The following is a 12,714-nucleotide window of genomic DNA, read 5'->3' as shown; positions in this document are numbered from 1 at the left end:
TGCCAAGTGTATCTACTTAGCTGATCCAGATAGTTCATTCCACAATTATGATCCACTTCCACAACCATGTCCCCCAAAAAGGGTGATATTCATCTGTAGCAGTTTCAGAGTCCAAGTTCTGTCCACTGAGCAGATGGTCATGCCTGCTTTCAGCTTGGAATAGCTGGCACTGAGGCTGAAAAATCTACAGTAAACACCACTGGGTTTCAATTAACATCAGTCATCCAGTTTCTGTCACTTAGGGGAACTTTAGTGAGTCAAATTCCAAAAGAGTCAACAGGTTCAGCTTTACTTCAGGCAGTGGAGCAGGACATAAATCCTCCCAGCCCAAAGATGCCAGTATCACCCCAATGATGGTATTTCATGTTCCCAAAGGGACAGCAGCCATATTCTCATGTAAAGCCAAGAGGCTGTTAGAAACATGTTAGCAACAATATTCACCACACCATATCTAATCAATAAGCACAGCTTTTCCAGCCTTTTCCACCTTCTTAAATAAAGACTTGAACTTGACCTACTTAAAAAAAAGAGCATTAAGCCAGAGAGGTATCAGGTTTCTATGGCTTAGAACTTCAGTTTAACAAGAGCCCATTAACAACCTACATTTCATAGAAGAATATATCTAGTAGCTCCTTCATAACCCTAAGTCTAAATCACCCCAAGATTACCTGCCAGTAAGTACTTCATCTCTTTGGATGTAGCCTTCTCTTGAAAAGTTTCTAATCAGCAAAAAATCATTAACACTTTTAGAGAGTTGTTCTATCCTCAGTACCCAAAGCAGCCAATAAATTGATTGGCACTCAAGCTCAATTTTAACAAACTCACTAGTGGCAAAGGGCAGGTGAGTTTGTCTTATTAACTCACTTATCTATCTCCAACTTTCCTATTGTCAGAATGATCACTTTGTTACAGGGATAAAAACTTATAGACATGTAACATCCAGCATTGATTTCTACCATACATTCATATATAGAAGCAACAAGGCAAAGGTCATTTTAATCTCTTTCATGTTTCTTCACTGCAAGTTTTGCTATATCCTATGGCTTAAGTTCAGCATTTCAAGGGTTAGGTTCAGAGCTGCTGGGAGATCACTTTTCCACCTGATGGGGGCTAGAAAACACCAGAGCTTTGGAAGCAAATTATCGCGGATGGCTTTGGACTCGGAGGCTTTCTTTCCCTTTCTTTGTCTACTTTCCTATTCACTTTCCAGCCTTTAGGTCTGCCTGGGATGAAGGGCTCTTTCTCCCTAGCCCTCACAGACTATCATGACTTCACCCTACGTTCCATGGTAACTTCATTCACTCTTGTGCCCATGGTTGGGCAGGATAGTGTCTTGGGTGACTGTTTCCAACAGTGCTAAAGACTTCTGAATCTTTCTCATCCTTAAAGTGCTGGCTTTTTTTTTTTTTTTTTTTTTGATGATGATTGTATAAAGCCTTCTGTTCTCCTAGGGTGTAGACTGTGACTCAATTCTGAATCATTAAAGCTGCTGAGGCTGGAATAGAGGAGAAGCAAGAAATAAGGGGGTACAGAGAACACTTCTTCACTTTTGAAAGTGAGTTTTGTTTACCAAACCCCACCAGCTCTCAGGAATTCTGGAATTTTTCTCTGCTGCTTGGGAGGTAAGAGCAAAAAGCAAAAGCACTATTCAGTCTTCTTTTTCCAATCTTACCTTCTGTTACTTGTCCTTCAAACACTTTACCAAATCCTCCTTAATGAGCAACTACATGGAGAAAGATGTACTTCCCAACTGACAAAACAAGATATCAATATATCCACCACCTTTTTACATTGGCCCAATGGTTCTCATTTATTATTTTTTTTGCAGAAGGTTATGTTTATGCAAGTACATCTCATATTAATCACCAAAATTATTGTTTTTATATATGTATTTGTTTATTTATCCCAGGAAGAAACACGAAGCTTCCGATCAGAGAAGAGATAAATTATTTCCTTTAAGGCATCTTAGTACCATTGCTTATGCTCCAAGTTCTTTTTTTTTTTTAATTATACAGAGTAAACTCCCATTCACAATTGCTTCAAAGAGAATAAAATACCTAGGAATCCAACTTACAAGGGACATGAAGGACCTCTTCAAGGAGAGCTACAAACCACTGCTCAATGAAATAAAAGAGGACACAAACAAAGGAAGAACATTCCATGCTCATGGATAGGAAGAATCGATATCGTGAAAATGGCCATACTGCCCAAGGTAATTTATAGATTCAATGCCATCCCCATCAAGCTACCAATGACTTTCTTCACAGAACTGGAAAAACTACTTTAAAGTTCATATGGAACCAAAAAAGAGCCCGCATTGCCAAGACAATCCTAAGGCAAAAGAACAAAGCTGGCGGCATCACGCTACCTGACTTCAAACTATACTACAAGGCTACAGTAACCAAAATAATTTAATACAAGTTTTACACTGTTCTAAATAAATAGTTTTTAAGGTTGAACACTACATTTAATATAAATTTACTTTTAAAATACTTTTTAAATTACTGGCATTTTAAAATGGATCTGGCAATACTATTTCTGACAATTGTTTTTGTAGTAGCCCTAAAAAAATTCTTCTTGACATATCCAGTATTTAAAGTCATGGTTAATCTATCATGTTTTTATTCTTTCATGCATTATTTTACCCATTGACTTTGTGGTTATAAAGCGAGATTACATAGAGGATAAAATTAATGTATCCAAAATAATAGAGTAAAAAATGTATTCAAATTTTGTTTAGGCTATTTACCTAGCAGCATAAGATGATTCATTTTATAGAAAGAGATGGTGTGGGTGATAAACTCCTAAGGTGAGCTCCATCATCTCTGCTGCTAGTGTTCATGCCCATGTGTGATTCCCTTTCCTGGAGGATAGGTGGGAATTTGATTTGACTATAACCAATAAAGTAATAGCAACTATGACAAGATGTACATGATTACATGTAAGTTTGTAGCAACGATCCTTCTGAATTATCTTTCTGCCTTGCTGACTTTGAGGAAGCAAGCATATATTTGAGGGTACTTCACGTCAAGGAACTATGAGTATCCTCTAGGAAATGAGGGCAGCCTCAGGATGACAACTGGCAAGAAATTGCTACTTTCAGTCCTACAACTTCAAGGAAAATGAATTCTTCCAACAACTTGAATGAACAGAGTTGGAACCTTCTCTAATTGAGCATCATGAAGAAGATAATCTATCTTCTTCTAACCCCTGGATTGCAACTCTGCCAAGGACCCAGCTGAATGATTTCTGAATTCCTGCCCAACAGAATGTGGGTTAGCAAACACGTTATTGGAGTAACTATGTTAGCAGTAATTTGTTATGCAGAAATAGAAAACCATTCTAAATGGGGATAATGAAACCCTCTTTACAGAATTACTATAGGTATCACATGAATAAGTTAGAAGAAAACATTTTGGAAATGGCAGGGCAATACAAAAATATATTACTAGCCAACAGATGTAAGTCCTTTCTTATTGGTAGTTACTTTAAATAGAAATGGATTAAACCGTCCAATTAAAGTCCATTAAAATTAAAATGGTGAGTTAATGCTAAAGCTCATGCGGTTTCTTTTGAGGTAATAAAAATATTCCCTTATAAGACAGTGATGATAATTTTACAACATTGTGTATATACTAAAAACTACCTAATTAAAATTTTAAAAGTGTCTGAAATGAGGAGCAAAATGATCTTGAGTGGATTTTGCTGCAGAACAGTCCCATGTTTATTGACGTTTAATCCCAAACTTAATCAAGCTTTTCTAAGCTTTAGAACGTTGTAGGATAATATGTTTTGATCACAAGTAATATTGACCTTGTCACTACTATGTTTAACACACATCATGGTTGTCCATTGTCTTTCATTGAAAGTTGCAGCACTATTCACAATAGGAAAGACATGGAATCAACCTAAATGCCCATCAATGATAGACTGGATAAAGAAAATGTAGTACATATATACCATGGAATAGTATGCAGCCATAAAAAGGAATGAGATCATGTCCTTTGCAGGGTCATGGATGGAGATGGAAGCCATTATCCTTAGCAAACTAATGAAGGAACAGAAAACAAAACACCACATGTTCTCATTTATAAGTGCGAGCTGAACAATGAGAAGACATGGACAGACACAGGGAGGGAAATGGCAAACACTGGGGCCTGTCAGCGGGTGGACTATGGGGAAGGAGAGCATTAGGAAAAATAGCTAATGCTTGCTGGGCTTAACACCTAGGTGATGGGTTGACAGGTGAACCTAACCACCATGACGCACGTTTACCTATGTAACAAACTCGTACATATTGCACATGTACCTCAGAACTTAACATTAAAATTAATAAAAAAGAAAGTTGTAGCATCCTAACTCTTACTTTTGGAGTGTCTCAAACTTCTAAATATGAATTTTTCTTTCAGGGCAAAAAGTGAATTTATGATGGCTTATTGAATTTGAAGCTATAAATTTCTATAGTATTTACACAATTTGGGGTAAATCTTGTAAATGATTCTTAAAAACCTAAGATTTTTGAAACAAACAAACAAAAATTCTAATAAAACATTATTATTTGTAAAGATCCTAAGATGACCAGGGTCTTAGCTCCATGGTAAGTCTGACTGCCACAGAAAGTCTGGATTACATCACATTTAGATCAACAAGATTATTTTTGTATCTATCAATAATAAAATAAAGAATAAAGCAGAGTTAAACTTTCAAAACAAAATCATGGTAACAACCACAAAAAATCACCTATTGATTAAGATAATTTAAATTTTTGCATATACTAGGATAACAGAAATTTCAGTTCTTGGGGAAAATGAATTGGTTCTTGGATGGTGGCTTCTTGGTTCTTGGACTTTATTAATAATATATCTCTTGATATGGAAGTTGGTTACATGGGTCCGTTCACTTTCCAAAACTTCACTGGGCTTACTCTTCCCTGGGCTTACTCTACATATACTCTTATGACATGTGTGCTTTGTATATACTAAACTTCAATAAAAGGTTTTCTTAGAATTATGAATTTGGATCATTTATTTTAATAAAATGTTGATAACATTCTTTTTAACTAAAAAAACCAAGATAAGCTGAGAAGCTGATTCATGAATTCAATTAAATTGATCCCTAATAGTATATATTTGATAACAGATAATTGTGGTGTGTATGCACATATGCATGTATGTTTTCTTTCATTTTGTTTATCCATTCATACATGGGACTTTCTCCACTCCCCTGCTCATCACATCATATCAGAGGGTGAATAATATCAACATGACTTATCATAGATAATGTTAACCTTGTTCACTTAATTAAAGTGGTGTTTAAATTTTTTCTCTAAAGTTAATATTTTCTTTCTATTCTCTGTTCGAATGGAGTAACTAAGTCCAGCCCACATTCATAATAATGAGAAGGATATTGCACTCCACCTCCTGAGGGGAGGGGTATGAAATAATTTATATTCAAATGTTAAATCCATCGCTGTATTTTATAAATTTGGAGGAAGATACTTTAAGTTTATGCAAATATTCTGTTTCTCCTTAATGTTTTGCCCACTAATTTGAGTATTCATCAGTGGATTTTGCAGCAGTAATTATTACTCTGGTGCTCTAATGGTGATTAATGTAGGGTTTTAATTGCATTGTTTTGTGATCTGAGAATAGGACTTATATGATATCAATTACATGGCCTTTATTTAACAAATTATTTTTGGCCAAATGTGCATTTTGGGGGCTAATTTTCTCATATGAACTTGAAAATAATTTATATACTTTCTCTATTGAACACAGATTACATTTACTAAATTATTTTCCTCAAAGGTTCCAAGTATTTGCAATTATTTTTTCCTTAACTTATCAGTTTGTAGTTAAGTCATATTAAAATATTCTAATACGAGTTACTAAGTTCTTCTTTGTATATTTTTCAACATCCACATCATAAGATACATACTTTTAAAATTACATCTAAATTAATTCAAAATTTTTACAGCTATTAACAATTATTATTATAATATTATGTCTGTCTTTTGCCCATTTAATATTTATCACCTTAACCCTTTTTACCTATTAGTAATTTTGCCATAACTGACCCTTAACTTTGCTGGTGTGTGTTGCTTATTTTACCTCATACTAACGATAATGTGATGTCTTACAGTATAGTTCAGGGATTGGGAGTGAGGTTAAAAACTTTCAGCTTAACCAGTCGTAGTGGTTCATGCCTATAATCCCAGCACCTTTGGGAGGCCCAGGTGGGCAGATCGCTTGAGTCCAGGAGTTCCAGACCAGGGTGGGCACCATGGCGAAACCTCATCTTTACAAAAATTAGGCAGGTGGGGTGGCATGTGCCTGTAGTCCCCGCTGCTAGGTAGGCTGAGGTGAAAAGATTGTCTGAGCCCAGGAGGTCGAAGGTTTTGTGAGCCATGTTGGTGCCATCCATCCTGGGTGACAGAGGCAGATCCTGTCTCAAAATAACAAACAAAAAACTTTTAGCTTGCTTCCTCGGGGGCATACAGCTGTAGTCCATGAGTTGTAGTTTATTCTGAAGCAAAAGTTACAATTTCACCCTCCTTTCTGCACCCTGTGAGCTGGAGTAGCTATGCGATATGTAGAGTCCAGGTAAAATAGAAAATATGGAGCCTCTTGTTCAAAAATCGTTAAGAATTTTAAGAAGGCAACTGCACAGTATTAAATCAAGCATAGCAGCCTTTTTGATATCAGGACCCTATGTGACTGCACAGGATACAAACCATGAAACTATTTCTGCCTATAAAACTGGCATTCTTCAAAACCTACAAAGGTTTAGAGAAAGCCCAATGACTGAGGCCTTATGCTCTACACGATGGCATCAGAAAATCTTCATTTTGACTTGCTCTAGGCTCAAATACACTTTTGTTTTATATTGAGAAGTAATATCGAACATATAGATAAGCCACCCACATGTATATAAACTGCATAGAAATAATTAAAGCACACACATATATACACAGTTATTTTTGTAAAAAGAAGGCATCTATCTCACTGAAAAGCAAACCTCAAGAGGTAATTAACCTAAAAGAATCATGGTAAACATTACAAAACAGTCTCACATTGGACAGGCTTCTGATAACATATTTTATTTTTATATTATTTGAAAGTTTATAAAACACATTTTGGATTAGTACAAATGTGTATATGTTTATACTATAAGTGTAAGGAAAAACAACACATATCCTACTAATACTTACTGTAAAATGTGCTATTTTAATTTTTCATTTAATTAGTGAGAATATTCATATTTGCTGAAAATGCATTATGTTTTTGTACCTACTCTGAAATTTGCTCTTATCTGCACATTTCTACTAATAGTAGTAGCAGAATTTACAATGAAACCAGAAGATTATTAATTTATTATTTTGCCCCACATTATATCTATGAATGTGTTTGGTTTAATTGACAAATTATAGTCTTGGAAATAGTATAGGCCTACAATATTTTTGATTTTTAGTTTAGTTACTGTTTACCTTATTTTATGGAAAATGAATTCAGATTACATCATATAGTATTTTTATTAGAGTGTATGAATTGGTACATGTATAAAAATATACATGAAAGGCCTACATATTTATACACATGGCAAAAGAGCTAAATTGTAATTATAAGAGTGGCTAGAAGTAATGTGATCACTGAAAAAAACTGAAATATTCTTGGTTACCTCTAAATATCATAGCACATGAATAAAATTACAGCCTCTGTTATCTATAATTACCTTTTTTTTTTTTACTAAAATCACTGACCACTGTATTCCAGAAGCAATTAAACCTTAGCTATATAAAAATAAATTATTAAGCAGCCATTTTTCTTCAAACATATATATTATATCCAGTCTTCTCATATGTCATAAAATATAAATAACAGGCCCTTCAAAACACCTTCACTATCAGAAGAGATAAAAAGAAAATGGACAAAGCGAAGATTCTGATATGTGACTTTTTTTAAGGTAAAGAAATATTTTCCTCAGAGAATAATTTTAAAGAGGATGCACACACCTTTGAGAATAAAGGCAATATGGATACTCATGTAATGAATACAAGTAAGATCTGTATAGAAATTGTAGATGGAAAGAGTGTGGGGGGGAAGCAAAGAAGTCGTTATTTGTCTTGTCTTCCTTTGATTTGAAATTTTCTGTTGTTTCTGGACCTTCATGATAGAGTCAGTAAAAATAAAAGGACAACTTGACAAATACTATAATAAAAACATTGAAGTCAAATATGAATTATCTCTCCTTGAGTTTCAGTCTCCCCATTTAAGGATTGGGTGACCTTGGACACACCCAAACATTCATCGAAACGTAAGTCTTCTCATTGCTTAGATCAACGTTATAATTTCCACTACATTAAGAAAATAATGAAAACAATGTACATGACAATAACTGGGACATTATCTAGTATTTATTAATAAATGTTAATGATTAATAATTGTATCTGAATACAGTTATAAGATAAATTATTTATAGGAGCCCCATGGGCTTACAGCTGTTACAACCAGATATTCTTAAAATTTCCATACTGGTATTTCACAGCACACATTAGCCGGTTTTCTTCAGTAAGGCTATTTTCAGTATGTTCCATTAACCAAAACTCTTCAAAATTTATTTTCAGGAAAATTTTCTTTTAAGGTACTATAAACATATCTTTCAATAGTTGTTTAATTTTTATACTTAATATATTTAAAAGTTCCTTGCATGTTTAAAATTGTGTATGAATTTTATGTTTGATTATGATGAAAAGTAATTCATAGATGAAAACTATCTTTGAAAGATATCTAAATTTATATCTAACCAAAATATACAATGTAATGTGCATTTAAAAATAAAATTATTTCTACATAGATAAATTGTTGCTCTCCTTATTTCATTCAATTATATCTCATTGCTAGGACTTGTAAATTGGGGAAATTTGAGTCTTATTGATGATATTTGCTCTTTGTTTCCTATGTTTCTAAGCCAAAAAGTTGCTTTCCAATTTATTGAAATAATATAATTATTTATTTTAAGAGTTCTATAAAACAACTAAATGAACCCAAGCGGAAGTTCAATTTGAGAACAAAGATTATAAAAATAGTCTCATCATCAGCCTCTATGTTAACACAAACTGATAATTTTGTCTATCAATAATATTCTTGACTTTGATTTCCTTTATAATTTCTATATCACTGCCAAGAATGAAAACAACACAGCTATGGATTGACTACTTTTTAGAAAAACTGCCTAGATATTTTATTATTAAATATGAAAATAAAAGCTATTTAGCATTAAATATTACTTTAAAAATTTGTACACTGATCATTTTAATATCTAACCTTCTGTCTGGCCAATGGAATCTGAAAAAAGTAAAATTTTAAAACATAGAAAAATGTTTCTCAATCTATCAGATTTATGAGACACTAGCTCCTAAATTTTATGGACTTTTTTAAAACCTAGACTTCCATGCCTTACCCCAGAAAATTAAATAATAATAATAATGCCCAGTCAATCACAATCAAATTGAGAAGATATATGCCTACATTTTACTCCAAAAATGCTTCAAAACAATAGAGCATGCCACTTTCAATATACCGGTCTATGAAGCTTATCTCTAAATAAGTAATCAGGGCACTTATTTTTTACCTTAGGGTAGAATAAAGTTCTAAAAACTAATGTCATTTGGTAGCCTTTTATTTATTTATTTTTTTGAAACAGAGTCTCGCTCTGTCCCCCACACTGGAGTGCAGTGTCGCGCGATCTCAGCTCGTTGCAAATTCCGCCTCCTGGGTTCAAGTGATTCTCCGGCCTCAGCCTCTGGAGCAGCTGGGATTACAGGCACATGACACCACGCCCAGCTAATTTTTATATTTTTAGTAGAGACAAGGTTTCACCATGTTAGTCAAGCTGGTCTCAAACGCTTGACCTCATGATCAGCCCACCTTGGCCTCCCAAAGTACAGGTGACTTTTATTAAATACATAAATGTCATATTAAAATTAGCTTATGTAAATTTATAAAATCATTTCAGTGTAACTTACATTTATTTTAATTTCCTTCTAGTAAGTGAAAATTACTGTTTTGATGTTAACTTTAATATTGCTTCGAAAATATAAAAATAATTTTCTATTTAAATAGAAAATTGAATCTTTCAAAGAAAAAATGGAGAAGCATCACTACTCTTGCACTGAAAGTAAAATTTCTGTATTTAGCTGAATTCTTTGAAAAAAATAAACCTGAGATTCTATCTAATGTGTTCTGAATATAAGTCATCATTATAAGTTCTTTCTTCTCTTTTAAATTGGCTATCTGAATCTTAAATTGAGATATCTTAATATTAACTTTTTTTAATTAACTCATGTGTAACTTTGTTATAATGTGAGAGTTTTCATAGTTTTCCAACCTTTGTTGAGAGAAATTCAAATTACACTATGGAAACTATTGTGAGTAATTTGGGTTAGAATCAAATGAATTAATTTTAATATAATTGAAATGACTCTATTAACAAAATGAAAGTCACATTAAATATTGCTGTTTTAATTTTAAAAAATTTAAACTAATCTTAAAAGTAAAGAAAGATGTTCAATTCAAATAATATATCCTTAACTTTTCTAGAGGATTTGTAGAAATAAACACTAGAATTCATAATTACCAATATTAAGATTTTTTGCAATGTGAAAATACAGGGAGTTGATTTTTTTTTTTTTTTTAATTTCCACAGCAGTCAGAATAGAGAATACTCAAGTGTCAGGCTAATGGTAGTAATTGGAAAATATGATGATAGATAATAATTTACACAGAAAAGTGCTAAATAATGCACATTGTGGAGAAAAAGTAAATGACTAACACGCTGATGGATTCTAAATTACTGTCACTTCAGGAAAAAATTCACAGTTTATATTATTGTGAATAACTCAATAAAAATATGCAGGAAACAATGAAAATACCAAATCATCATACAATTTTCTTTTTAAGGTAAGAGATAAAACAGTTTAATGTTCTATGCCTACATATAAAATGACAGCATTTCTTTTTTAAGATAACTAAAAATATTCTAACTAAAATCTTTATAGATATAAAAAAAGAAATATATACATAAATATTGTAATTTTACCACTTTAAAGAAAACAATTTATTTATTTTTTTTTAGTATTTGCTTCAGCTTTTTTTTAGCTTTTATTTTAAGTTCAGGGGTACATGTGCAGGTTTGTTACATGGGTAAATGCGTGTAATGGGGGTTTGTTTTGTAGATTATTTCATCATCCAGGTATTAAAACTAGCACCCATTAGTTACTTTTCCTGATCCTCTCCCTCTTCCCACCCTACACGTTCTGATAGCCCTCAGTGTGTGTTGTTCCTCTCTATGTGTCCATGTGTTCTCACCATTTAGCTCCCACTTATAAGTGAGAACATGTGATATTTGGTTTTCTGTTCCTGCATTAGTTGGCTAAGAATAATGGCCTCCAGCTCCATCTACATCCCTGCAAAGAATATGGTCTCATTCTTTTTTATGACTACATGGTATTCCATCGTGTATATGTACCACATTTCTTTATCCAGTGTATCATTGATGGACATTTGGGTTGATTTCATGTCTTTGCTATTGTGAATAGTGCTGCAATGAACATACGTGTGCATGTGTCTTTATAATAGAATGATTTATATTCCTTTGGAGATATATCCAGTAATGGGATTGCTGGGTGAAAATAATTTAAATAGAAAAGAAGGTCATTGATCACTGATGCCTTGTTTCTTTCTTTTTCAAAATGTAAATATCAAGGGGAATTAGCAGAAAAAATTTAACTGAGATAAGTGAGAAGAAAATACTTGCTTTATATAACACACTTATTTCAGTCAAGCTTTTATTATTCTTCCTAGGTTAATTAATATTTTCATTTCATTCTAATACTTCTTTATGACTCAATATATCAAGCATGCAGAATTGTGAACAATATTCGAAACACCTCTAAATCAACTTGAGACCTAAGAACTTGCAGAACAGAATGTACTCATTTGACTTGAGAAATGATGATTATAGCTAAAAGCCAAAGAAATGAGGTATTACTTCAGAAAATAAAGCTGAGCTATTACTTCACACTTAGCAAAGAAAACACTGCCAACTAGATATGTAAAAACTTGATTACAAAATATAGAGAATTCTTTATTAAACTGAACCAAATATTATGGAAAAGAGTATCATCTTTTTTCAATGAACCTAGTATTTCTATTCACAAAATCCAGGATTCACTTACCTTTTCCTAGTTATTAATACATATATTTTATTAAAGCCTTTACAAAATTAATTATAAATATTATATCAAGTAGTTACCTAGAGTAGAAAATGCCTTAATGTGTCAAGTCTAGGCACATAATTTGTAAAGAATATTTTGTCTTTGTTGATCCTTTCTGTTGTATACTTACATTCTTTTAATTTCTTCTCCTGTCATTGACATTTTCCATATAATTTCTTAGGATTTATCTTGCTCTTCTTCTTCTAACTTCTTGAAATAAATGTTCTCATGCAAATATGGGTGAATGCCAGACAGCAGACAGAGTAGACATTACTTTTTTTCCTGCTTGGCTCACCCTGGTCCTCATTCTTGCTCCCACATCACATTACCCCACAATATACTTCCATCTAAACATATGCCCAGTTTCTGCTTTCTGTCTAGCCTGGGTTAGAGAGGCCTGCTTATTCTTCACAGTTATACCCAATAAGCATGACATAAGA

General features: G+C 32.9%; 1 long non-coding RNA gene across 17 annotated transcripts in view, besides 1 other annotated feature; it reads right to left on the bottom strand.

Moving 5' to 3' along the window:
* LINC02377 (long intergenic non-protein coding RNA 2377) overlaps positions 1-12,714 on the bottom strand; it is a 338,568-nt gene that overhangs the window by 150,648 nt on the left and 175,206 nt on the right. The gene's annotated exons all lie outside the window — the stretch shown is intronic.
* Positions 820-2,019: an enhancer, noted in NCBI's record as "CDK7 strongly-dependent group 2 enhancer chr4:132486813-132488012 (GRCh37/hg19 assembly coordinates)". NCBI's record gives its function as "activates an origin of replication core promoter dependent on BRD2, BRD4, P300/CBP, MED14 and CDK7 cofactors, with strong dependence on CDK7, by STARR-seq in HCT116 cells {active_cell/tissue: HCT116}" and the evidence as "EXISTENCE:reporter gene assay evidence [ECO:0000049][PMID:35650434]".

The sequence above is a fragment of the Homo sapiens genome, chromosome 4 (assembly GCF_000001405.40).
Source record: "Homo sapiens chromosome 4, GRCh38.p14 Primary Assembly".
Lineage (NCBI taxonomy): Eukaryota > Metazoa > Chordata > Mammalia > Primates > Hominidae > Homo > Homo sapiens.
Note: the sequence above shows the minus strand (reverse complement) of the source record. Positions and strands in the feature narration are given on the sequence as shown.